The sequence below is a fragment of the Homo sapiens genome, chromosome 9 (assembly GCF_000001405.40).
Source record: "Homo sapiens chromosome 9, GRCh38.p14 Primary Assembly".
Taxonomy (NCBI): Eukaryota; Metazoa; Chordata; class Mammalia; order Primates; family Hominidae; genus Homo; species Homo sapiens.
Window position 1 is genome coordinate 127,814,891 of NC_000009.12, and position 23,342 is coordinate 127,838,232.

Below are 23,342 nucleotides of genomic sequence, written 5' to 3' on the forward strand. Positions count from 1 at the left end.
TCAGGATGCCACCCCTGCCACCAGGCCAGCCCAGTGGGGGCCAACTACAAAAGCAGCCCTGTCCTGTGCCCTCACCCCACCCTGGCTTTGAATGTCACTGCCCTTCTCCCAGCCCAACCCATCACTGGTTTCATGGTCTGATTTATTGGTGGTGAATACACAGGGGCAGGCCCAGGACAAGCAGCTTGGCTACTCCCCCTCTGCTGGCTGCCCGACCGGCAGAGGGGGCTCCATGTGGCAGGAGCTAGGCTCCCAACGCCCACTGTTCTTGCCACCCTCTGGGCTCCCAGGCTGGGCTCCGCTAGGCTCCTGTCTCCCCTGCCAGTTAGTTAGGCAAGTTCAGGTGTGGAGGCCGCAGGGATAGATCCAGGTGGCTCTGGGCTGGGCCCTCTTCTCTTCCCAGCGGGGAGGTGCTGTTGGCCTGGCTGGGCTGGCCTGAATCTGTTTCAAGTTCTCCCTTCCTGCCCAGCTCAGTTCACCAGTGCTGGATCCAGGTTCAAATGACAGGGACTTGGGTTTTTACAACAGCGTGGCAAGTGGTCTGTCTCCTGGGCAGCCATATCCCAGACCCACTGGGTTGAAGGTTCTGTGGGGTGGAGGGACCCCAAGGTGTTCCAAGCCAGTGGCTGCACTGGCAGCAGGCCTCTGAGAGGGAGGCGGGAAGGGTAGGCGCGGAGAGCAGGCTCCATTCTGGGTCGAGTGGAGGACTGGCTCCCAGGGTGAGTTCACACCAGTGCTCCCAGCTGGCGGCTGCTCAGTCTCTCCTGCTGGGCGAGCGCGGGGGGCCGGGGCTATGCCATGCTGCTGGTGGAGCAGGGGGTGCTCTGGGTGCTCCCGATGCTGTGGTTGGTGCTGCTGCTCTCCGAGGAGGCCGGGGCAGCCACCGCCACCACGGGCTCCCGCTTGCTGGGGGAACCTGGGAGCGGGAGCGGGGGCAGGGGCGGAGGTCAGGGTCCTGGCCAGGGCCCCTCAATCCCTCAGAGGCTTCACTGGGCTCCCCCGGGTGGATGGAGGGGCCCGGCATGCTCACTGTGGGGGCCTGGGGTACTCACGCGTGTGCGAGTAGATGTACCAGAGTGCAGCAGTGAGCAGGGCCCCGATGAGGAAGGCACCAAAGGTGATGCCCAGCACGGCGGGCAGGACGAGGCCTTTGCTTGTGCAACCTAGAGAGGGCCGACGCCATCAGCACTGCCACTCTGCCCCTGCCCCATCCCCTACCCTGTTGTGCTGGCCCATGTGGGCTTTGGTGCCAGCTCTGCTCAGCCATGGACCCTCGACTTCTCTGAACCTCAGTCTCCTCTTGCAGCAAACGGGCTCATCACAGCCAGGCCTGGCATTGAGCCATGGTTGCTAGGACTGTCCACCTAGAGGGCCCAGCCAGGCCTTTTGGGTCATGCCTCTGCCCCTCAAGGCTGATGGAGATGGCGTTTTCAGGGAGGATGGATGGGGTAACGTGAGGAAACTGAGGCTCGGGAGTACAGAGCCTGCCCCACCTGCTGCATGACCTTGGGTCAACCCTGCCCCTCTCTGAGGCCTTTAGCAGGTAGAGAATGGGCCAGAGCAGCTCCGAGTGCCCTGCAGCTCTGCTCTTGGATTGCTCCAAGCCTCATTCCCTCCACATTCCTGACTCCTGTGTGGCTATGGGCCAAGCAGTCTTTCCTTGAGCCTCTGACATCCGATTCTGTGTCATGGGGTTATCAGCCCTGCCTTCTTGGTCCTGGGCTGGGAGTGGAGGCTCCATCCTGGCCTGGATGGGGTGGCAAAGAGGTAGGTGCCCCCATCCCTCACCCCTGCCTCTGCCACCAGTGTCGGGACTCTTCTGCCTGGTGTGGGCCTGGGCCTGGGGGGAACTGATGGAGAGGCTAGAGGGGGCGTCCTGCAGGGAGAGGCCTCAAGGAAGGCAAGGCCAGCACCCACCCTCAAAGGGCCTCTGTCTCACCCAGGAGACTCCATCCTCCCAGCAAGGTCAGCCAATAACTGTGGGGATGGAGTGGAGCCGTGAGTGGGGGCAGAGGCCTAGACTCCCACCCCACAGGGCGGTCCCGGGCAAGGGCTCTCCATCTGCAAAGTGCAGCTCTGGCCCCTGCTCTAGGCTGCTATGGCTCTGGGAAGCCCTCCTCCTGCCCCTTCTGGGCCGCTTTCTCTGGGGTCCCCCTTGCCATGTGCTATGTGCCCAGGCCGTTTCTCAGGGCTGCCCGCTGTGCCCTACTGTGACCTCAGCCACTAGAACAAACCCGAGAGACCTGGAGGGAGCTCACCAGACAGGTCAGGGCTGATGATGTTCAAGCGCATGAAGACAGTCCTATGGACTTCCTGGAGGAGAAAGAGAGAGCAGTATGTGGCACCTTTGGGAGGCGGCTTCCAGGTTTACTCCCTGGCTCCGTGACCCCAGCCCACCCTAGAGCCTTGGCTTTGAATCCCATCTCCACCGCTTCGTAGCTGGATGCCTCTGGGTGAGTCCTGGAAGATCTGTGCTGTGGGAGGGTGCCTAGTGGACGATCCCTGGCTGCTGCTGAAATGTTTCCTGTGAGTTCCTGGAGGCCTTGATGCCCAGGAGCACTGTGGAAGCACTATGCATCCCTCACCCTTGTGAACACTTTGGAGCTATGAGCCAGGTCAGCCCAGAGTCCCAGGCTCACTCTGGCTGGAGGGAGAGGCCCACTTAGGGGAGTTGAAGGCTTCCCTAGCTTCCTATGACCAGAGAAGTTTGTAATCCTGGAGGCCTGTCTGTGCAAGGGCCTGGGGGTGACTCTGGGGGCGTCCAGGATAGATTGCCTGAGAGTGGGGGTCACCAGATGGTGAAGTGTTGTGACTGGCAAATACAGAAAGCCAGGAGTGTGTGTCCTTTGTCCGCCTCTCTTCCCTCAGGTCTCCTGTTCTTTGAGATTACACTGGTGACCATACTACATGGATGTGCGGGTGGTTAGATTCCTGGGTGGGAGGGTGGATGGATGGATGGACGGACGGGTAAGTGAAAGGATGGATGGATGGATAGATGGACAGTGGCAGCTGCATAGTCTGCCAGTGCCCCAGACACAGCAGTCCCACCAGAAAGCTCTCGGGTGGCAGAAAGTGCTGCTGGCAGCCAGACTGCCAGGCCACATGCCTGATTAAGGCTCCGCCCCTCACCAGCTGGCCCCACATCCCTGTGGGCTGCCATGTCCCTTCCTGCAAACCACAGACCTGGAAGCTCCCACTTGAAGCTGGGGCCGGCCCAGGCCCCACTCACCTGGTCTTGAGACCCGGTCTTGGGACGCAGGGCTACCGTGCAGCTGAGGGTGCCGGTTTTGGGTATGGGTACTGTGTAGAAGTGGAGGAGGAAGCTGAAGCGCGGGTCACCCTCGGGGCTTGGGGACAGCAGGCTCACACAGTTGCCCTTGGCCGCCCGGCCCTGGATGAGTTCCACGGTGCCTCCCTCAGGCCCCAAGTCCAGGTGGCAGCTGTCTAACTGGAGCAGGAACTCGGAGACGGATGGGGACACTCTGACCTGCATGGGTAGGTAGGGCCACGCGGCATGGGCAGCTGCTCTTCACCCCACCCCACCTGCTGCCTTCAAATATCGGCTAGAATTAAGAGTTCCCACCCCTGAGTCCTCACAGTGGAAAGAAAGACATGGACCTGTCTGGGGCAGAGGAGGAGGACAGGGCCACATCCTTGTCAGTGTCCCTGAGCAATGCCTTCTCTGTCTCTCCCTCTCCCGTGCACCCAGGCTGTCTCCCTCCTGACTCTGGGAGTCTCATCTCCTCTGGAGTCATGGTGGGAAGAAAGGCGGAGAGGAAGTTCCAGGAGCTGGGAGGCCCGAGGGGTGACAGGCATGCCAGGTACCTGCACAAAGCTCTGCTGCCCCGGCTCGATGGTGTTGGAGGCCTGGAGGAAGTGTGGGCTGAGGTAGAGGCCCAGCTGGAAAGAGAGGCTGTCCATGTTGAGGCAGTGCACCTTTTTCTGGGGGAGGACGGGAGGGAGACTTGGTCAATCTGGCGGCGCCAGCCAGGAGGGCGAGGGGTGTGGGGAGGAACAGGCATCATGGCCCTGTGGAGTTGCCTGACTCTCTTTTTTTTTTTTTTTGAGACGGAGTCTCGCTCTGTCGCCCAGGCTGGAGTGCAGTGGTGCGATCTCAGCTCACTGCAAGCTCCGCCTCCCGGGTTCATGCCATTCTCCTACCTCAGCCTCCCAAGTAGCTGGGATTACAGGTGCCCGCCACCACGCCCGGCTAATTTTTTGTATTTTTAGTAGATACGGGGTTTCACCATGTTAGCCAGGATGGTCTCAATCTCTTCACCTCGTGATCTGCCCGCCTCGGCCTCCCAAAGTGCTGCGATTACAGGCGTGAGCCACTGCGCCCGGCCCTTTTTTTTTTTTTTAAACTAATATTTATCAAGGAGGCACCAGCTGCCAGGCTGTGTGAAGAGCTTCCACACAGCACCTCATTGGCTGCCCAGAAGCACCCTGTGGCGCAGAGTCCTTTCTTAGGCCACCTTTGGGCCCAGAAAACTAAAGTGACTTGCCCAAGGCCACACAGCCAGTATGTGCTAAGCCCTCTGACTTGAGAGACCAAGAGCGTCACCCTCAGCAGTCCTGCTCCGGTCATACAGAAGGGGAGACCGAGGCATTCCAGACACACATGGCTTGCCAGGAGTTTCCCGAGGCCTGCTCCCTCCCAGGCCAGGAAGAGGCCCCGGCCCAGCAGCAGCCCCTGGGCCAGGTGGGTTAGCACGTGACTGTCCATCTCACCCGCTGTGGTGATGAGCTCGACAGGATATTGACCACCGCCTGCGGGGATAAAGCCAGGGAGCTGGTCAGAGCCAGAAAGGACCCCAGAGGGTATCCCACCCAATACGCCCATTTTTGCAGATGGGGAGACTAAGCCAACCAATGGCCAAGCTTGTCTTGTGTTCTGAGCCCCTGCAGCCTGCTCTCCCAAACACACCTCCACCCTGGGGGATCAGGGAGGGCACCTGAGGGGGCACCAACCAGGCTGGTCCTGATACCTTTTTGGCCCCAGCTCTTACCTCATTGCTGATCATACTTGCTGACACCTGCATGCCACAGCTGGAGTAAGCACTGCGCAAGACAAACTTGTCACCCCTGTCCTCTGCCTCACAGCTGGGGTCCCAGAAGGTCAGGCCCGTGATGGTGCACTTCAAATGCTGGGTCGGAAGAGAGGGGCACCATCAGGAGGCACTGGGGTCTCTGTGGCCTGCCACACCCCAGCACCAAGGACTGACCACAACCCAGGGGTCCCAAGTCACAGCCATTCCCCTGCCCTGCTCCCTCTTCATTTTTGTTAGATGTCATCATCCTACACCACTTAAAAGTTCTTTTTTTTGAGATGGAGTCTCACTCTTTTTGCCCAGGTGCAGTGGCTCGATCTTGGCTCACTACAACCTCCACCTCCTGGGTTCAAGCGATTCTCCTGCCTTGGCCTCCTGAGTTGCTGGGATTACAGGCACGTGCCACCATGCCCGGCTACTTTTTTGTATTTTTAGTAGAGATAGGGTTTCACCATGTTGGCCAGGCTGGTCTCAAACTCCTGACCTCAGGTGATCCACCTGCCTCGGCCTCCCATTGCAGGGATTACAGGCGTGAGCCACCGCGCCTGGCCAAATTTTCTTATATCTATCAAAATAAATACAGAACTATTAAAAATATTCCTTCAGGCCGGGTACGGTGGCTCACGCCTGTAATCCCAGCACTTTGGGAGGCTGAGGCAGGTGGATCATGAGGTCAGGAGATCGAGACCATCCTGGCTAACATGATGAAACCCCGTCTCTACTAAAAATACAAAAAAATTAGCCGGGCGTGGTGGCGGGCTCCCGTAGTCCCAGCTACTCGGGAGGCTGAGGCAGGAAAATGGCGTGAGCCCGGGAGGCGGAGTTTGCAGTGAGCCGAGATCGCACCATTGCACTCCAGCCTGGGCAACAGAGCGAGACTCCGTCTCAAAAAAAAAAAATATATATATATATATTCCTTCAAGTTCCACATATAATCATCACTCACAGCCCCAAGGGCATGCAAACCCTGCAAGCATAATCCAGTCTCAGGCCTGGCGTGGGCGAAGTGTTCCTATAAAGAGCCAGATAGTAAATACTGTCATGCACCATGGGACAATGTTGTGGTCGGTGATGGACTGTGTATATGATGGTGGTCCCTGGTCCCATAAAATTATAACGAAGCTGAAAAATTTCTATTGCCTAGTGTTTGTGGTGATGCTGGTGTAAGCAAACTTATTGCACTGCCGGTCATATAAAAGTCTAGCACAGGCTGGGCGTGGTGGCTCACGCCTGTAATCCCAGCACTTTGGTAGGCAGAGGCAGGCAGATCACAGGAGGCCAGAAGTTCGAGACCTGCCTAGCCAACATAGTGAAACCCGACTCTACTAAAATTATAAAAATTAGCCAGGTGTGGTGGCAGACACCCATAGTCCCAGCTACTGGGAAGGCTGAGGCACAAGAATCGCTTGAACCTGAGAGGAGGAGGCTGCAGTGAGCCGAGATCACATCATTGCACTCCAGCCTTGGTGACAGAGCGAGACCTCGTCTCTAAAACAAGAAAAAGAAGGCCAGTTGCAGTGGCTCACGCCTGTAATCCCCGCACTTTGGGAGGCTGAGGTAGGCAGATGACCTGAGGTCGGAAGTTCGAGACCAGCCTGGCCAATATGGTGAAACCCTGTCTCTACTAAAAATACAAAAAAGTAGCTAGGCTGCGGACCAGGCGCCTGATTTCACACCTGTAATCCCAGCACTTTGGGAGGCCGAGGTGGGCGGATCACAAGGTCAGGAGTTCGAGACCAGCCTGACCAACATAGTGAAACCCCGTCTCTGCTAAAAAAAAAAATACAAAAAATAAGCCAAGAGTGGTGGTGGGCACCTGTAATCCCAGCTACTCGGGAGGCTGAGGCAGGAGAATTGCTTGAACCCGGGAGGCAGAGGTTTCAGTGAGCCGAGATTGTGCCATTGTACTCCAGCCCGGGCAATAGTGTGAGACTGTCTTAAAAAAAAAAAAAAAAAAAAAAAGCCAGGCGTGGTGGTGCACGCCTGTATTCCCAACTACTCAGGAGGCTGAGGCAGGAGAATCACTTGAACCCGGGAGGTGGAGGTTGCAGTGAGCCGAGATTGTACCACTGAACTCCAGCCTGGGTGACAGAGCAAGACTGTCTCAAAGAAAAAAAAAGAAAAGAAAAGAAAAACCACTGTAGCCAAAATTGAAAGAATTACAGCAAATCAAGGGAAGTGGTGGCCAAAGGGGCAACCTTTTTTTCTTTATTAAAACTTATAAAAATCATCAAGAAAAATACCAAGCCTCAATGATAAGGAGACTGAGGTTCTCATCACTCACGTGGAACCATGCCCACACTCACTACTAACCAGAGAATTACAACTAAAACAAGAATGGAACGCCATGTGCCTCTTCCCACACTGGCAAAGGTTTCTCTTTTTTTGAATTATAGTCTGGAGACAGCGAAGAGGTTGAGGTGTTCTCGTAAATCAGTGGTGAAAATTCAAATCATCTTTGGGAAAGTGGGTTGGCAACATGTATTGAAACTTCATTCATTTTGACCCAGTAATTCCACTAATGTGGAAATCTATCCTGAGAAAATAATCCTATATAAAGAAATGTTTCATGCACAATGACATTTTTTGCATATTTATAATACTACAGAATTGGGAACAACCTAAATGTGTAACAAGGGAAGAGGAGTTAATTATAGCATGTCAATATGATGGAATAATATGTGCTTATTAAACATGATATTAGGTACAGCTGTCAAAGCTCTAAAAATACATTAAGTGAAATAGTAAGAGACAAATGAACACATCTCTTATGATTACATCAATATAAGAAATACACAGAGAAAACGCTCTAGAAAGAAGCACACCAAAATGTTGGCAGCCATTGTCTTTGTGTCAGAAGGTTAAGATTTTCTAATTTTCACATATTTTTTAAAGCATGTTTTTTGTTTGTTTGTTTGAAATGGAGTCTCGCTCTGTCGCCCAGGCTGGAGTGCAGTGGCACAATCTCAGCTCACTGCAATCTCCCTCTACCGGGTTCAAGCGATTCTCCTGCCTCAGCCTCCTGAGTAGCTGGGACTACAGGCGTGCACCACCACGTCCGGCTAATTTTTTCTATTTTAGTAGAGACAGGGTTTCACCGTGTTGCCCAGGCTGGTCTCAAACTCTTGAGCTCCGGCAATCTGCCTGCCTCGGCCTCCAAAGTGCTAGGGTTACAGGTGTGAGCCACTGTGCCTGGCCAGCATGTGTTCTTTCATTTTATTTTGAGACGAGTCTTGCTCTGTTGCCCAGGCTGGAGTGCAGTGGCATGATCTTGGCTCACTGCAAGCTCCGCCTCCCGGGTTCAGGCCATTCTCCTGCCTCAGCCTCCCAAGTAGCTGGGACTACAGGCGCCTACCACCATGCCTGGCTAATATTTTGTATTCACCATGTGTTATTTTTATAACAAATATATTTGTTTGTCAACCAGGCAGTGATCATATTGTATAGGCTTTTTTTTTTTTCTTTGAGATGGAGTCTCTCTCTGTCACCCAAGCTGGAGTACAGTGGTGCGATCTCAGCTCACTGCAAGCTCTGCCTCCCGGGTTCACACCATTCTCCTGCCTCAGCCTCCCGATTAGCTGGGACTACAGGCGCCTGCCACCACACCCGGTTAATTTTTTGTATTTTTAGTAGGGACAGGGTTTCACTGTGTTAGCCAGGATGGTCTCGATCTCCTGACCTTGTGATCCACCCGCCTCGGCCTCCCAAAGTGCTGGGATTACAGGCACCGGCTTTTTTTTTTTTTTTTTTTTTTTTCTGAGACAGAGTCTCACTCTGTTGCCCAGGCTGAAGTTTAGTGGTGTGATCTCGGCTCACTGCAGCCTCTGCCTCCTGGGTTCAAGCGATTCTTGTTCCTCAGCCTCCCAAGTAGCTGGGACTACAGGTGTGTCCCATCACCTCTGGCTAATTTTTGTATTTTAGTAAAGACAGGGTTTCACCATGTTGGCCAGGCTGGTCTCAAACTCCTGACCTCAAGTGATCCACCCATCTTGGCCTCCCAAAGTGCTGAGATTACAGGCGTGAACCACCATGCCTGGCCTGTGTAGGTATTCTGCTAAGTGACCAGCCAGCTCAGGGAGCATTTAGGATTAATAATGACAACTACCTAGTGCTGGCATTATTTACTAAGCACTTACTATGTACCACATCTTACTGTGCCACGTGATTGGCCTGTCAGACTGCCTTTAATTCTCACCACGTGGTAGGTACCATTATCAATTCCATTATACAAGTGGGAAAACTAAGGCTTGCAGAGGGACGTGACTTGCCCCCCTGCCTGGGCTAGGACCCCAAGAGTCTTGGGCTAGGGGAGGAACCAGATGTCCATGTCATCCTGAGCCAGAGGGGCAGGAGTTCCCTTACCGCAACAAGCTCTTTCTTTAGTACCAGGGTCATGGCGTCGTCGGCACACTTTGTCTGGATCAAGGACATGAGCAGCTCCGGGCTACAAGTGTCCTTGGGAGGAGTGGTCTGGATCGGTGCGGGTGAGGTCTGCAGCCTACCACCTGTGGGGTAGCAGAGGCAGGCCAGGCGGCTGGTCACTGTGTGATCACTGTGTGCCCGCACCAGGCTTTTTTTTTTTTTTTTTTTTTTTTGAGACGGAGTTTTGCTCTGTTACCCGGGCTGGAGTGCAGTGGCACGATCTTGGCTCACTGCAACCTCCATCTCCCAGGTTCAAGCGATTCTCAGGCTCTTCTATGATTAGCTACTCCCATTGTTCCCATGTGCAGATGAGAAAAATGAGGCTCAGAGAGGCTGATGTACCTTGCCCAAGCTCACACAGAGGTGCTTCACCAACAGTGTGGCCACTGATCCAAGGGAGGGGAAGGGAAGGGAGGGGCAGGGGAAGGGTGCTCACCGCAGCTGGAGGCATGAAGTGAGACAATGCTGGCCAGCGGTAGCTCCACGAAGGATGCCACAATGCTGGCATTGAGCATCCGGGCCTCCCCCAGGAGGCCTTGAGGTGTGTCTGGGAGCTTGAAGCCACGAATGTTTTTCTCTGGAAAGATCTTGAAGGAGTATTCTCCAGTGGTCTAATGGTGGGGAGAGAGGCAGAACAGGGGGCCATGGACACAGTCTGTGCCACAGCAGGCCAGCCAGGGTTATGCCAGGCCTCGGTCCTGCTGTGTCCCCACTCCTGCTGCGTCTTCTGCCTGGCCCCTTCCCTCACGTATGGGCATAGGTGATTTGTCCTTCAGCTCAGCTCGGGGGTTCACCTTTCCAGGAAACTTCCCTGATCCAGAGGTTGGGAGTTTGGGTTTTGTGTCCCGGGAGCTGCGCACAACTCACCCAGATCTGCATGTTGTGGTTGGCGTCGATGAGCCAGGACACGTAGGGGGGACCCTGCAGGATGAGGACGGCATCGAGATCCCCGGGTGCGCAGCTCAGTTCCACCTTCACCGTCACCGTCCGGGGCCTGCGGGGAGACAGACGCGGATGGAACACTGAAGCGGACAGGCCAGGCGGGGAGCGAGGCCTGGCGTCGGGTGGGCGGCGGCTGCACTCTTACCTGGCCAGGTGTGGGTTTATGGGATAGGGATGGGACTGGGGCCAGGCTTGTGCCCAAAGGGAAGGGGCCCATAGGGGGCGTAGCCTAGAGTAGGAGAAAGCGACTGTGCTCTCACAGGGCTGCGGCGGGGCTGGGGCTGGGACTGGGGTGGGGCTTTATAAGGGACCGGAGAGGGGGCGGGGGGGGTCAGGGGGGTGGTCTCTCGGGGTGGGGACTAGTGTCAGGGGCGGGGCGAGAGCCATACCCGGCCGAGTGGCCCGGCAGGACCCTCAGGATGTGCGCCTCCTTGTGGCCGGCCACGCCTTCCAAGTGGCAGCCCCGGACCAAGGCTGGAGTACGCGGCCGCCACTCGAGCGTGCGGCCCATGTCCTGGCTGGCTTCCAGCATGCAGAAGGACAGTGACCCCTGGGCTGCAGAGACACGCGCACCTCAGTCCCTTCCCTCAGCAGCCCTGCACCTAACAGAGCCCCGCCCTCACCCACAGCCAAAGATAGTGGTGGGGCAGGCAGGACGGTGCTGCAGAGGGGGAGAGGCGTCAGAGGACCTAGGTTCGAACTTCCCTTCCACCACTCACCTGCCAAGTGACCCTGTGCAAGTCCCCGGGCCTCCGTGTGTTAACATAAGGGATGAGCCCATGACACATGTTAGGCTGCAGCCCCGAAACCACCCAGCAAGACCCGAAATTATAGATTTATCTGTGTACATGTACATGTTTATTGTCACCTCCCTCATCACAGTATCAGCTCCAGGAAGGCAGGGCCTGAGTGTGTCCCCAAGTGCCTAGCATGATAGGGCTTTGGCACATAGTAGATGCACAATAGATCGTATGAAAATGCTGGGGTTTTAGGTCAGAACCTGGCATATTCCACATGCTTCAATCTGATATTTGGTGGAGGAGCCATCACTGTCCCAAGGCAGCACTGGCTTGTGGCATGTGAACTGTGGCACAGCGTGTCCCCTCCTGCACTCTTGGTGCCCAAGTTTGAGGTGTGGGCCAGAGGAGCTCAGATTCCTCCTGAGCAGTATCATGAGCCCAGAGAGGTTGCTGGGGAAACTGACCTTGGCCCAGTCGGAGGAGGATGCTCTGGGGGTCATTCAGCTCAGCAGCAGAGGTGATGGGGCCCCTCTCAGCTGCCCACTCAAGGATCTGGGTCTTGGGGAAGGATGGCAGCTCTGTGGTGTTGACCCCCGGGGGCTCTTGGAAGGTGACCAGGCTGGAATTCTGGGGAGACATGTGGAGGCTCAGCACGCTGTTCCTGGCCCTGTGCCCTCTCTATCCCATGTAGGAGGTCAGGAAGTAATTTGTGGAGTCAGCCCATTGGCTGAGAGAAAGAGGCCGGAGCTGAGAATGCTGGCTGGTGGATCTGCAGTCAGCCCGGAGCCCCCTAGCAGTCAGATCAGCCCCTTCTCCCTTGCATACCTGGGGGGCCAGATGAACACACCACCTTGTTCATCCACCTGTCCAAACATCACCCACCCCTCCAGAGCTGTTCTCATTCAACCCACATCTACGCCATCCTGCGGCTGTCTCTCCCTATACCCTGAGGCTCTGGATCTCCCTACACTGTGAGGGTCTACAGGGGGCAACGTCTACCTTGCCCATCCTTGCACAGTGCTTGACACGTAGTACGCACTGAGAGAGATTTGTCTGACTTTGTGCTGGGCCCTGGGCCCATCACAGGATCCTGACATGCCAGCGTCACCCTGACACCCAGCATGTGATGGGTGCTCCCCGCCTATGGGAAGACAGGGAGAAAGGGAAGAAAGAAGAAAGGGATGGATGAATGAATTAATGAATTAAAGACAGATATCAGTGGTCCCTGCCCTAGGGGATATTACCATTCAGAAACTAGACATGCATCAAGTCATTTGAAACAATAGAAGACAGAATTTTATTTAATAAGAAACAAAGGAGCCAGACAGATCTCCTGGTTGGACAGGGATGGGGAGTCTGGGTGGCTTCAGCATCTCACTGCCTACCCTGCCATTGCCTCAGAAGAAATGGGGGTTGGGGGTGAGGAGGAAAGCAGACAGGGAAGACTTCCTGGAAGAGTGACTCTGGAAAGCTGAAGGATTCAGAGGAAGCTGTTGGGGCCACTGACTGAGCTCTTAGTGTACAGTCTCCAAAGCCAAGGGCATTGAGCTGAATGAAACAGCAGCAGCAGAAGGGCAAAAGGGCTTCGGGTTGGATTTAAAAATATTTTTTATTATAATTTTTTAGAGACGAGGGTCTCACTATGTTGCCCAGGCTGGTCTCCAACTCCTGGCCTCAAGAGACCCTCCTGGCCAGGCACAGTGGCTCACGCCTGTAAACCAGCACTTTGGGAGGCCGAGGCGGGTGGATCCCCTGAGGTCAGGAGTTCGAGACCAGCCTAGCCAACACGGTATGAAACACTGTCTCTACTAAAAATACAAAAAATGAGGTGGGGGTGGTGGCAGGTGCCTGTAATCCCAGCTACTCGGGAGGCTGAGGCAGGAGAATTACTTGAACCCAGAAGGCGAAGGTTGCAGTGAGGCGAGATGGGGCCATTGCACTCCAGCCTGGGCAACAAGAGTGAAACTCCATCTCAAAAAAAAAAAAAAAAAAAAAAAAAGGAGACCCTCCTGCCTCGGCTTACCAAAGTGTTGGGATTACAGACATAAGCCAGGTCGCCTGGCCCAAGCTAGATATTGAGGACTGCCAGATGGCAACAGTAGACAAGACACCCTAGAATGGCCCATCTAGAAGGAAGTAGATACCTTCTCTGTAGGGATTCAACAAGGGGGCAAAGTGATGGGCATCTTGGGTGAGGAACCCAGCCCGCGGAATGGGAAAGGGCTGGGACACTGGCTTTACAGCTGGGTTGGGAAAGGGATCTGATCCTTGAGTCAGCCCCTGTAAAATGGGGATACAGCAGGGCACGACGTCTGTTGGTCGCCTGGCACTGGGTCGGCCACCGAGGCCGCGCCTTGGCCTCTTTGTCCCCTCTGGCCACCGGCCCCAGGGAGCCCGCTCGGGAAGCAGCGCGGCCCCAGGAGGAAGGCGGCGCGGCCGAGGCCAGAGCCGGCGGCTACTGCGACCTTCCGGCTGGCGGGCGCGTTTCATGTTCCTGCCTCACCCTGGGCTGCACGGACTCAGATCGGGAAGGGGGAGGATCCATGGTAAAGGCCACGCCCCCTCTGGGACCTCGATTCCCCTTCTGGGCGGCCGAGGGATGGGCTGCAAGGAGTCAAATCCTCTTGGCCCTGGTGGTTGGATTTGGCCCCCTCCCTCCTAGGACTTTGGCATGCTGGCTTGGTCATGTCTGACTGTCTCTGTGCTGTCCCTGTCACCAGTCCGGAAGCTTCTCCCCTGTCCCCCACGCCCAACTTCGCTCAAGCCTGCCTCCCTCCCGCAGTGGGCATGTTTCTTTCTATGCCTCTCTCCCCTTTGCTATCTTTGCTCTCCCCCGGGCTCTCCCCTTCCTACCCTCTGCTTTCTCTGTTGTAAACAACAGCTGCTCACATCTGGGGGCCACCTCCCAGACATTCCTCATGGAGGAGGCAGTGCTGGCAAGCCACCCTGCCTCCTCCAGCCCTGACCTCTGGCAGTGGGTCCCAGCTCCCTGACCTCCTCTCTCTGGTGGATATAGCTAACACTTTTAAAAGTTGAGGCTTTTGGTTGTTTGTTTTTAATTGTTTTTCCCAAATCCACAGCTGACCTGAAAACTTGAGTTTTTTAAAAATACTTTTTTCTCCAAAATAGGCCAAATCCATTTAGAGCAACTCTTGCAAACTCAACAAAGTGTGAAGAACCAACTAAATGTCTCTCCTAATCCCACTTCCCAGCCATAACCACTGTTAACACGTTAGGTTTTCTCCTGGCCCTTTTCCTCTGTCTTTAAATATTTTCAAATATATGTCGTGTAACTTTTTCAAAGACAATGAAAAGATTATCATATAAAATATTGAGTTCAGTTGTCCCACTGGACAGAGAGGCAAACTGAGCCTATGCAGAGGATCAGAGTTGGCCAGGGCTGCACATCAACCTGACTCCCACCTCTTGGTCTAGACTCTTTACTGTAGTCCTGGTGCCCTCTGGGTTCTCTCTGGTAGAGACCATTGGCTTCACCAGGCAGGACCCTGGTGAATAATGTCAAGATGAAAGGGAGAAGCAGGGCTGGGCCGCTGGGGTGGGAGACCCTGACCCACAGAGATGGACAGTAGGGACCTCCCATGGCCAGAGCCTCAGCCTGGGGTTGGAGGGAACACACTCACGTAGGCCAAGTGCAGTGGGATTCCCAGGGCCTGGAGATGCAGGAAGACACTGCTGTTTACACTGAGGACCAGAAGCACCTCTCGGGGCCAGGTGCCATTTTGCTTGGATGCCTGGAGAGTCAGCTCCAGCTGTGACGGGCCCTGGGGGACACAGAGGAGAGACACACACAGTCCAGTCAGATTTGTATAGGTTGTGCCACCCAGACAGGCAGTGATGATTTGGATGCTTCCACTCCACTCTCCCTGCCTGCTCTGTCCACCCTCACCTCCCAGTGCCCAGGGTAGTGCCTGTCCCTCTGGCCATCCTCAGGGAATTCACAATAAACAAATGAAGGAGGTAAGCCCGGCAAATCTGAAGAGAGAAAAAAAATTAGGCTGGGCACGGTGGCTCACGTCTGTAATCCCAATACTTTGGGAGGCTGAGGTGGGCGGATCACCTGAGGTCAGGAGTTGGAGACCAGCCTGACCAACATGGTGAAACCCCATCTGTACTAAAAATACAAAAATTAGCCAGGCGTGGTGGTGGGTGCCTATAATCTCAGCCACTGGGGAGGCTGAGACACAAGAATTGCTTGAACCCTGGGGGCAGAGGTGGCATTGAGCTGAGATGGCACCACTGCATTCTAGCCTGGGCAACAGAGTGAGACTCCATCTAAAAAAAAAAAAAAAAAAAAGGCCGGGCATGGTGGTTCACACCTGTAATCCCAGCACTCTGGGAGGCTGAGGCAGGTGGATCACCTGAGGTCAGGAGTTCGAGACTAGTCTGTCCAACATGGTGAAACCCCGTCTTTACTAAAAATACAAAAAATTAGCCAGGTGGGGTGGTGGTGGATGCCTGTAATTCCAACTACTTGGGAGGCTGAGGCAGGAGAATCTCTTGAACCCAGGAGGTAGAGGTTGCAGTGAGCTGAGATTGCGCTATTGCACTCCAGCCTGGGCAACAAGAATGACGCTCCGTCTCAAAAAAAAAAACAAAAAACAAACAAAAAAAAGGGATGAGCCTGAACTTCATCCATCAAGGATCAAATGAGAACCTGTTGTGTACTGGGCCTTAGGGAGTGTCCTGTGCATGGAGGCAGCGATCCCCTGCCCCATCGTCCCCACCACCTTTCCTGCAGTCCCTGAGTGACAGCTCTGCTTCCAGCCCACATGAGACAGTCACAATTGCTCTCCCAGTTTGCAATATTCCTGCTTGTCTTACCGTTTTAAAGTACTAAAATCCTGGGGGGTTGTTTTGGTATAATGCCATTATTTTGATATAAGAATGTGAAGTTGAAATCATTTATGTCTTGAGACGTACCCACTGCATTAAAATTTTTAATTGTTCAATGATGTATACATTTAGAATGTTTTTATAACAACAGCAATACCTACCTACCACGTAAATAGGGCCTATTAAATCCCAGCAGTGTTCTAAGTGCTTTACACATTAACTCATTTAATCCTTTCAACAACCTTAAGACGTAAATACCATTTTTTTTTTTTTTTTTTAGAGACAGAGTCTCCCTCTGTTGTCCAGACTGGAGTGCAGTGATGTGATCTCGGCTCACTGCAACCTCTGCCTCCCAGGTTCAAGCAATTCTCCTGCCTCAGCCTCCCGAGTAGCTGGAACTGCAGGTGCCCACCACGACGCATGGCTAATTTTTTGTATTTTTACTAGAGATGGAGTTTCACCATGTTGGCCAGGTTGGCTTTTTTTTTTTTTCTTTTTTTTTCTTTGAGGCGGAGTCTCGCTCTGTCGCCCAAGCTGGAGTGCAATGGGGCGATCTTGGCTCACTGCAACCTTCGCGTACCAGGTTCAATTCATTCTCCTGCCTCAGCCTCCCGAGTAGCTGGGACTATAGGCGCCCACTACCATGCCTGGCTAAGTTTTGTATTTTTAGTAGAGACGGGGTTTCACCATGTTGGTCAGGCTGGTCTCGAACTCTGACCTTGTGATCCACCTGCCTCGGCCTCCCAAAGTGCTGGGATTACAGGTGTGAACCACCCTGCCTGGCCTTTTTTTTTTTTTTTTCTTTCTTTTGAGACAGGGTCTTGCTCTGTCACCCAGGCTGGAACCCAGTGGCACAATCTCAGCTCACTACAACCTCTGCCTCCTGGGTTCAAGCAATTCTCCTGCCTCAGCCTCCTGAGTAGCTAGGACTACAGGCGTGTGCCACCACACCAGATTAATTTTTTATATTTTTAATAGAGATGGGGTTTCACTATGTTGGCCAGGCTGGCTTTTCTTTGTTTGTTTTTTGAGACAGGGTCTTACTCTCTTTTCCAGGCTAGAGTGCAGTGGTGCAATCATGGCTCACTGCAGCCTCAACCTCCTAGGCTCAAGCAATCCTCCCACCTCGGCTTCCCAAAGTGCTGGAATTACAGACATGAGCTACCATTCTTTTTTTTTTTTTTTTTTTTTTTTGAGACAGAGTCTTGCTCTGTTGCCCAGGCTGGATTGCAGTGGCACAACCTCGGCTCACTGCAACCTCTGCCTCCTGGGTCAAGCAATTCTCCTGCCTCAGCATCCTGAGTAGCTGGGACTACAGGCGATTGCCACCATGCCTGGCTAATTTTTGTATTTTTAGTAGAGATGGGGTTTCAGCATGTTGGCCAGACTGGTCTCAAACTCTTGACCTCAAATGATCTGCCCGCCTCGGCCTCCCAAAGTGCTGGAATTACAGGCATGAGCCACTGCACCCGGCCACTATTCTTATTTTCACTTACAGATGAGGGAACCAAGACCCTGAGAGGTGAAGTCATTTGCCTTTGATGACACAGGAAGTCAGCCAGGGGCTGGGATTCGTGCCCAGGTAGGCCTGTGCTCTCACATTTTTCTTTTCTTTTCACTTTTTTTTTTTTTCTGAGATGGAGTTTCACTCTTCCTGCCCAGGCTGGAGTGCGAGACCAGCCTCATCAACATGGTGAAACCCCAATGGTGCGATCCTAGCTCACTGTTTCTTTTTTTTAGGCTCGTCAAGTGAAGCAATGAGAGTGGAGAAGGAACAAAGCAATCTGTAACTAGTTGTGATCAATTACTTGTAAACACAATTGTTTTTTTCATTTTAGTGTGCCATTTAGTTTTTTTCTATTTATTATTATTTTTTGAGATGGAGTCTTGCTCTGTTGCCAGGCTGGAATGCAATGGCGCGATCTCGGCTCACTGCAACCTCCACCTCCTGGGTTCAAGTGATTCTCCTGCCTTAGCCTCCCAAGTAGCTGGGACTACAGGTGCATGCCACCATGCCCAGCTAATTTTTGTATTTTTAGTAAAGATGGGGTTTCGCCATGTTGGCCAGGATGGGCTCAAACTCCTGACCTCAGGTGATCCACCCGCCTTGGCCTCCCAAAGTGCTAGGATTATAGGCGTGAGCCACTGCACCCGGCCGCTCTCACATTTTTCCACACATTTTTGTGTAGCACATCCTTCCCTAGCACATTTTTCTAACCTTATTCCCAAGAAGAAAAAGAACACAGCAATCTACAAGCCAGTGTCTATTGAAAGAATGACCTCAAAGACTTTCTGAACTAGTGGCATGTGAACAGGTGAGTGCTGAGACTAAGACAGGTAGACCAGGCGTGGTGGCTTACGCCTGTAATCCCAGCACTTTGGGAGGCTGAGGTGAGCCGATCACCTGAGGTTGGGAGTTCAAGACCAACCTGACCAACGTGGAGAAACCCCGTCTCTACTAAAAATACTAAATTAGCCAGGTGTGGTGGCGCATGCCTGTAATCCCAGCTACTCGGGAGGCTGAGGCAGGAGAATCGCTTGAACCCCAGGAGGCGGAGGTTGTGGTGAGCCAAGATCGCGCCATTGAGCTCTAGCCTGGGCAGCAAGAGTGAAACTCCGCCTCAAAAAAAAAAAAAAAAAAAAAAAAGACAGGTAAATGCCTCAGAAGCCCTGCCACCAACTCAGGAGGACAAAGACAAATGTAATTTGCTGAAACACAGACTCCCAGTGCTCTCATACAAAAGCTGCCAGTCTAAAAGATGATCCAAAAGCTCTTTTCAAAGTTATGAAAAAGGGGAAGGCTATTTCAAGATGAAGACACCAGTGGAAAGTTTTGAGATTTAACTTTTAATCATCTTGCCATTTCCCCAACTGACGTCACAAAGCCAGAGACAGTGTTTCAGCCACTGGAAAAATCTGCCCAGAAATATTTCTGTTACTCAATAATGATACCATAATTACTCTTTGCTTTTAAGTTTCCTCTTTAAAACACAAAAAGAACAAATAATAATATTTCATTTTCAATGTGTCACAAATATTTTGTTTCCTTTTTTTAGGCTCCTCAAGTGAAGCAGTGAGTGTGGAGAAGGAACAAAGCAATCTGTAACTGGTTGTGATCAATTAGTTGTAAACACAATTTTTTTTTTCATTTTAGTGTGCCATTTAGTTTTTTTCTATTTATTATTGTTTTTTGAGATGGAGTCTTGCCCTGTTGCCAGGCTGGAGTGCAATGGCATGATCTCGGCTCACTGCCACCTCCGCCTCCTGGGTTCAAGCAATTGTCCTGCCTCAGCCTCCCAAGTAGCTGGGACTACAGGCGTGCGCCACCATGCCCAGCTAATTTTTGTATATATATATTTTTGAGATGGAGTCTTGCTCTGTCGCCTAGGCTAGAGTGCAGCGATCTCTGCTCACCGCAACCTCCACCTCCCGGGTTCAAGCGATTCTCCTGCCTCAGCCTCCCGAGCAGCTGGGACTACAGGTGTGCGCCACCATGCCCAACTAATTTTTGTAATTTTTTCTTTTTTTGAGATGGAGTCTTGCTCTGTTGCCCAGGCTAAAGTACAGCGATCTCTGCTCACCGCAACCTCCACCTCCTGGGTTCAAGCAATTCTCCTGCCTCAGACTCCTGAGTAACTGGGATTACAGGCACCTGCCACTGCGCCTGGCTAGTTTTTGTATTTTTAGTAGAGATGGGGTTTCACCATCTTGGCCAGGCTGGTCTCGAACTCCTGACCTCATGATCCCTACGCCTCAGCCTCCCAAAGTGCTGGGATTATAAGCGTGTGCCACCACGCCCAGCCTAATTTTTGTATTTTTAGTGGAGATGGGGTTTCACCTTTTTGGCCACAATGGTCTTAATCTCTTGACCTGTGATCTGCCTGCCTCAGCCTCCCAAAGTGCTGGGATTATAGGTGTGAGCCACTGCGCCCAGTTAGGTTGGTTATTTTTAAATAATTATTTTATGCTAATTTATGGGATAAGATATGTTTCAAATTTATGTTTGTATAAGTTCATGTTTTGATTAATGTTTTCTAGTGGGTTTATAACTTTTGGTTTTCAAAATATATTGTTTCATCAGTTTTGAATAAAATATATATATATATAATTTTTTTCTTTTAAGACAGGGTCTCCCTCTGTTGCCCAGGCTGGAGTACAGTGGCGTGATTGCTCACTGCAACTTCCGCCCCTCAGGCTCAAGTGATCCTCCCGCCTTAGCCTCCCAAGTAGCTGGGACTACAGGCATACACCAGTATGCCTGGCTAATTTTTATATTTTTTGTAGAGATGGGGTTTCACTATGTTGCCCAGGCTGGTGTTGAACTCCTAGACTCAAACAATCCACCCACCTCGGCCTCCCAAAGTGCTGGGATTACAGGCGTGAGCCACCATGCCTGGCAGTTTTTAAAAATATTACGCTTTCTAGGCTGGGCGTGGTGCCAGAGCGGGGCCTGCATTCCCTGGACCATGTCCTCCCTCTCAACTGCACCTCTCTCCCAGATTGCCCTACAGTCCATTGCTGTGCGGCCCCATCTGCTTGTCCCAACCTGGAGGAAAGAATTGCAAGGCCCACACGATGAAGAGATGGGCCCTCTGGATAGTCAGATCATGGCCAGGACACAGCACAGCCTGTGGTGCATGAGGACATCCATCCGCCATCCCATGGTGACACCCACAGGCCAAGCATGCTGCAGAAGCCAGAGTGCAGTCTGGTGGCCAAGCCCTGAGTGGGGATGAAGGAGCCCCATGGCCATCCAGTCCTACTGCTGCTCCGCCACTGTCCCTGTTCCTCTATGCCTCAGTTTCCTCATCTGTGAAATGGGGGTAGGACAGGGTTGGGAACCAGTACCAGGTTGGGCTATGGATAAAGGAAGTGAAAAAAAAGGGAAGTGCAGGTCACAGCCTGGTCATGCTGTCTGTGAGGGGTGACGAGGAGGCTGGAACTTCGGAATGTTTCTTGGGACACTCAGCTCTCATCCCAGAGCTCACGAACCAAAGCTACCACTCAGTTGTCACCAAGTCCTTCCCTGCAGGCTTGAGGGCAGGTAGGAGGTGGGGGCAAGTGAGTAGTTGGGAAACTCAGGGGGGCTGGAAAGCTGGGTGCTCAGGTTCTCTGAGCTGCAGGGCCAAGCTGAAAAACAGCTGGTTACCAGAAAAACCCAGTCAGGGTTTCTACAGCAAACATTTCCCTCCCCACGGCCCTGACTCACCGCCACGGCCACTCACACGCACACCGACTTCCCCCTTCTCTCCCGGCCGGGGGCCCCAGAGGCAAAAAACGATGGCGCCAGCCTTGCCCCCAACCCCAAGCTCCCAGCCTTCCTCATGGGACCCTGGGAATTCCGCAGTCTGGCCAGCCCCTCACCCCCAGCCCGGCCAGCCTGCGCCTACCCAGCCCCCTCCCTGAGTGGGTGGGCGGGAGACCGCGTTTCTATTTTTGTACCAATGTCCCACAGATGCCATTGTTGCCCAGCAGTTGGTGGCAGGAAGGGGGGATTTCGGTGAGGAGGCCCTGAGTGCTAGTAGCCACTTATAGAAAGTCGCTTCCAGCAATTCTTCTAGGAGTGGAGCCTCAGGGCTGCCTGCAGCCCCCACCCTCCCAGGGCCTGACTGGAGGCGGTCAGATTGGAGCCAGCCGTCCCTCTGTCCACCCCAGAAAACTCAGATGGTCCTACAGGCAGGGTGGCAGGGGAAAGGATCAAAGCCAGACCAACCTGAATTCAGATGGGGGCTCAGTCATTAGCCTGTGACCTTGGACAGTCACTATGCCTCTCTGGGCCTCAGTTTCCTGATTTGGAAAATGGTATTCCCACTTCATTGACTTATGAGGTTTCAGTGCAATTCTGCCTGCAAAGTAGGTTGTCCAGTGCCCAGCTAAACATGTGGGAGTAGTTTGGCTTTTTTTTTGAGACACAGTCTTGCTCTGTCACTCAGGCTGGAGTACAGTGGCACGATCTCGGCTCACTGCAATCTCCGCCTCCTGGGTTCAAGTAATTCTGCTGGTTCAGCCTCCTGAGTAGCTGGGACTACAGGCACCCACCACCATGCTCAGCTAATTTTTGTATTTTTAGTAGAGACGGGGTTTCGCCCATGTCGGCCAGGCTGGTCTCGAACTCCTGACCCAAATGATCCACCCACTTCGGCCTCCCAAAGTGCTGAGATTACAGGCGTGAGACACCACGCCTGGCCTGGTTGGCTTTTTAATCCCTCTGATTCTCCCCTTGCACACAGTCATCCAAGGAGAGCCATCCACAGTTTAGGGGCTGGGAAGCATGGGTCCAGTTAGAGGTGGGCTGCAGCTGGTGAGAACTACAAATCTCTCAGCCATGCCTCGCTGTGGCATCCTATCTCTGAGCCTCAGCCTCCCCATCTGTGCAGGGAGGAGTTGAGCTCAGTGATGTTCTAGAATTGTGTGGCCCCTAGATCCCAGGCTGCCTTCTGGGGGTCCCAGCATTTTACATCTAGGAGTCCTGGTCTCCAGCCAGATGGCCACAGAGTGGGTTTTCAGAATGCCCTGGAGAGATATGCTTCTTCCTCAGCTGAGGGGGCCCCTGGTACCTCCAGCCTTTCTGGTGGTCAGCCCACGTGTCCTCACCTCTCCAACTCATTTGCCTGTCTGAGAGGCTGGCACTGGGCCCAGCCTGGGGCTTCTGTGTTCTCAAAGGACAGAAAAGGCATAACTCTGTCCTCAAGAGCTTGGCAGAGAACAAACCAACACCTCCGAACGACCAGACATAAACAGCAAGGAACATCATCAGCCCACTTGGGAATAGCCAATCACCAAATGCTTATAAGAATGTACAGTTTTTCCTTCCTTTCTTTTATTCTCTCTCCCTCCCGCCCTTATCCATCCATCCTCTCATCCATGCATGAATGCATCCATCCATCCATCCATCCATCCATCCATCCATCCATCCAACAGATATTGATTCCTGGGCTGACTTCGAGCTTAACACCAAAGATTCAGCAGTAAGAGGGCAGGCACAATCCCTGCTCAGCCTGTCTGACCCTCCCCAACCCCCAATCCTGCCCCTTCAGCAAGCCTGCCTCTAATATTTGCAAGGCCTGAGACAAGAATACAAATGGCAGCCTCTGGCCCCAGTGCTTTCTCCTTCTCATCACTGTGGTTCTGACAGCCAGCAAGGGTGCTCATGTGTCCACATGTGGACAGCTCAGCCCGGATACCCAAACTCCACCATGCCTGCCTCCCCAAGTAGCCAACTCAACCATCCTTCAGGTCTGGGGGAGCTCACATAGCCATGCAGTGCTCCCCTGGAGGATGGAACAGGAAAGATCCCTGCAGCCCTGAGAGGAGGCTCAGAGCCATTTGGGAT

At 53.2% G+C, this 23,342-nt stretch overlaps 1 protein-coding gene and 3 long non-coding RNA genes across 7 annotated transcripts in view, besides 3 other annotated features; 3 read left to right on the plus strand and 1 right to left on the minus strand.

Moving 5' to 3' along the window:
• Positions 126–23,342, minus strand: part of ENG (endoglin) — a 39,643-nt gene continuing 16,426 nt past the window's right edge. For 2 of the 4 annotated variants that reach the window (NM_001114753.3, NM_001278138.2), the window contains exons 3-15: positions 14,797–14,937; positions 11,620–11,782; positions 10,805–10,970; positions 10,341–10,467; positions 9,910–10,084; positions 9,414–9,556; positions 5,010–5,147; positions 4,732–4,770; positions 3,826–3,942; positions 3,230–3,487; positions 2,259–2,313; positions 1,053–1,163; positions 126–916 (exon numbers count right to left, since the gene is read on the minus strand). In NM_001114753.3, the coding sequence (NP_001108225.1) occupies positions 792–916; positions 1,053–1,163; positions 2,259–2,313; positions 3,230–3,487; positions 3,826–3,942; positions 4,732–4,770; positions 5,010–5,147; positions 9,414–9,556; positions 9,910–10,084; positions 10,341–10,467; positions 10,805–10,970; positions 11,620–11,782; positions 14,797–14,937 (1,758 nt within the window). In that variant the 3' untranslated portion in view covers positions 126–791. Of the gene's footprint in view, positions 1,164–2,258; positions 2,314–3,229; positions 3,488–3,825; positions 3,943–4,731; positions 4,771–5,009; positions 5,148–9,216; positions 9,557–9,909; positions 10,085–10,340; positions 10,468–10,804; positions 10,971–11,619; positions 11,783–14,796; positions 14,938–23,342 lie in introns of those variants that run through there. The other 2 variants (NM_000118.4, NM_001406715.1) reach the window with 2 other exon arrangements.
• Positions 1,176–7,630, plus strand: LOC102723566 (uncharacterized). The gene is made up of 6 exons (NR_136302.1): positions 1,176–2,453; positions 2,869–2,967; positions 3,421–3,499; positions 3,710–3,821; positions 6,305–6,608; positions 7,448–7,630. It is a non-coding gene; the product is annotated as an uncharacterized LOC102723566 (long non-coding RNA).
• Positions 11,062–11,662: an enhancer, noted in NCBI's record as "H3K4me1 hESC enhancer chr9:130588231-130588831 (GRCh37/hg19 assembly coordinates)". NCBI's record gives its function as "activates a minimal SCP1, AML or CMV promoter by ChIP-STARR-seq in naive H9 embryonic stem cells {active_cell/tissue: H9 hESC(naive)}" and the evidence as "EXISTENCE:reporter gene assay evidence [ECO:0000049][PMID:30033119]".
• LOC105379841 (uncharacterized) lies at positions 16,373–17,890 on the plus strand. Its single transcript, XR_001746951.2, has 3 exons — positions 16,373–16,413; positions 17,508–17,591; positions 17,750–17,890. It is a non-coding gene; the product is annotated as an uncharacterized LOC105379841 (long non-coding RNA).
• LOC124902278 (uncharacterized) lies at positions 18,093–20,117 on the plus strand. The gene is made up of 2 exons (XR_007061799.1): positions 18,093–18,324; positions 19,066–20,117. It is a non-coding gene; the product is annotated as an uncharacterized LOC124902278 (long non-coding RNA).
• Positions 20,023–20,994: an enhancer, noted in NCBI's record as "H3K4me1 hESC enhancer chr9:130597192-130598163 (GRCh37/hg19 assembly coordinates)". NCBI's record gives its function as "activates a minimal SCP1, AML or CMV promoter by ChIP-STARR-seq in naive H9 embryonic stem cells {active_cell/tissue: H9 hESC(naive)}" and the evidence as "EXISTENCE:reporter gene assay evidence [ECO:0000049][PMID:30033119]".
• Positions 20,995–21,965: an enhancer, noted in NCBI's record as "H3K4me1 hESC enhancer chr9:130598164-130599134 (GRCh37/hg19 assembly coordinates)". NCBI's record gives its function as "activates a minimal SCP1, AML or CMV promoter by ChIP-STARR-seq in primed H9 embryonic stem cells {active_cell/tissue: H9 hESC(primed)}" and the evidence as "EXISTENCE:reporter gene assay evidence [ECO:0000049][PMID:30033119]".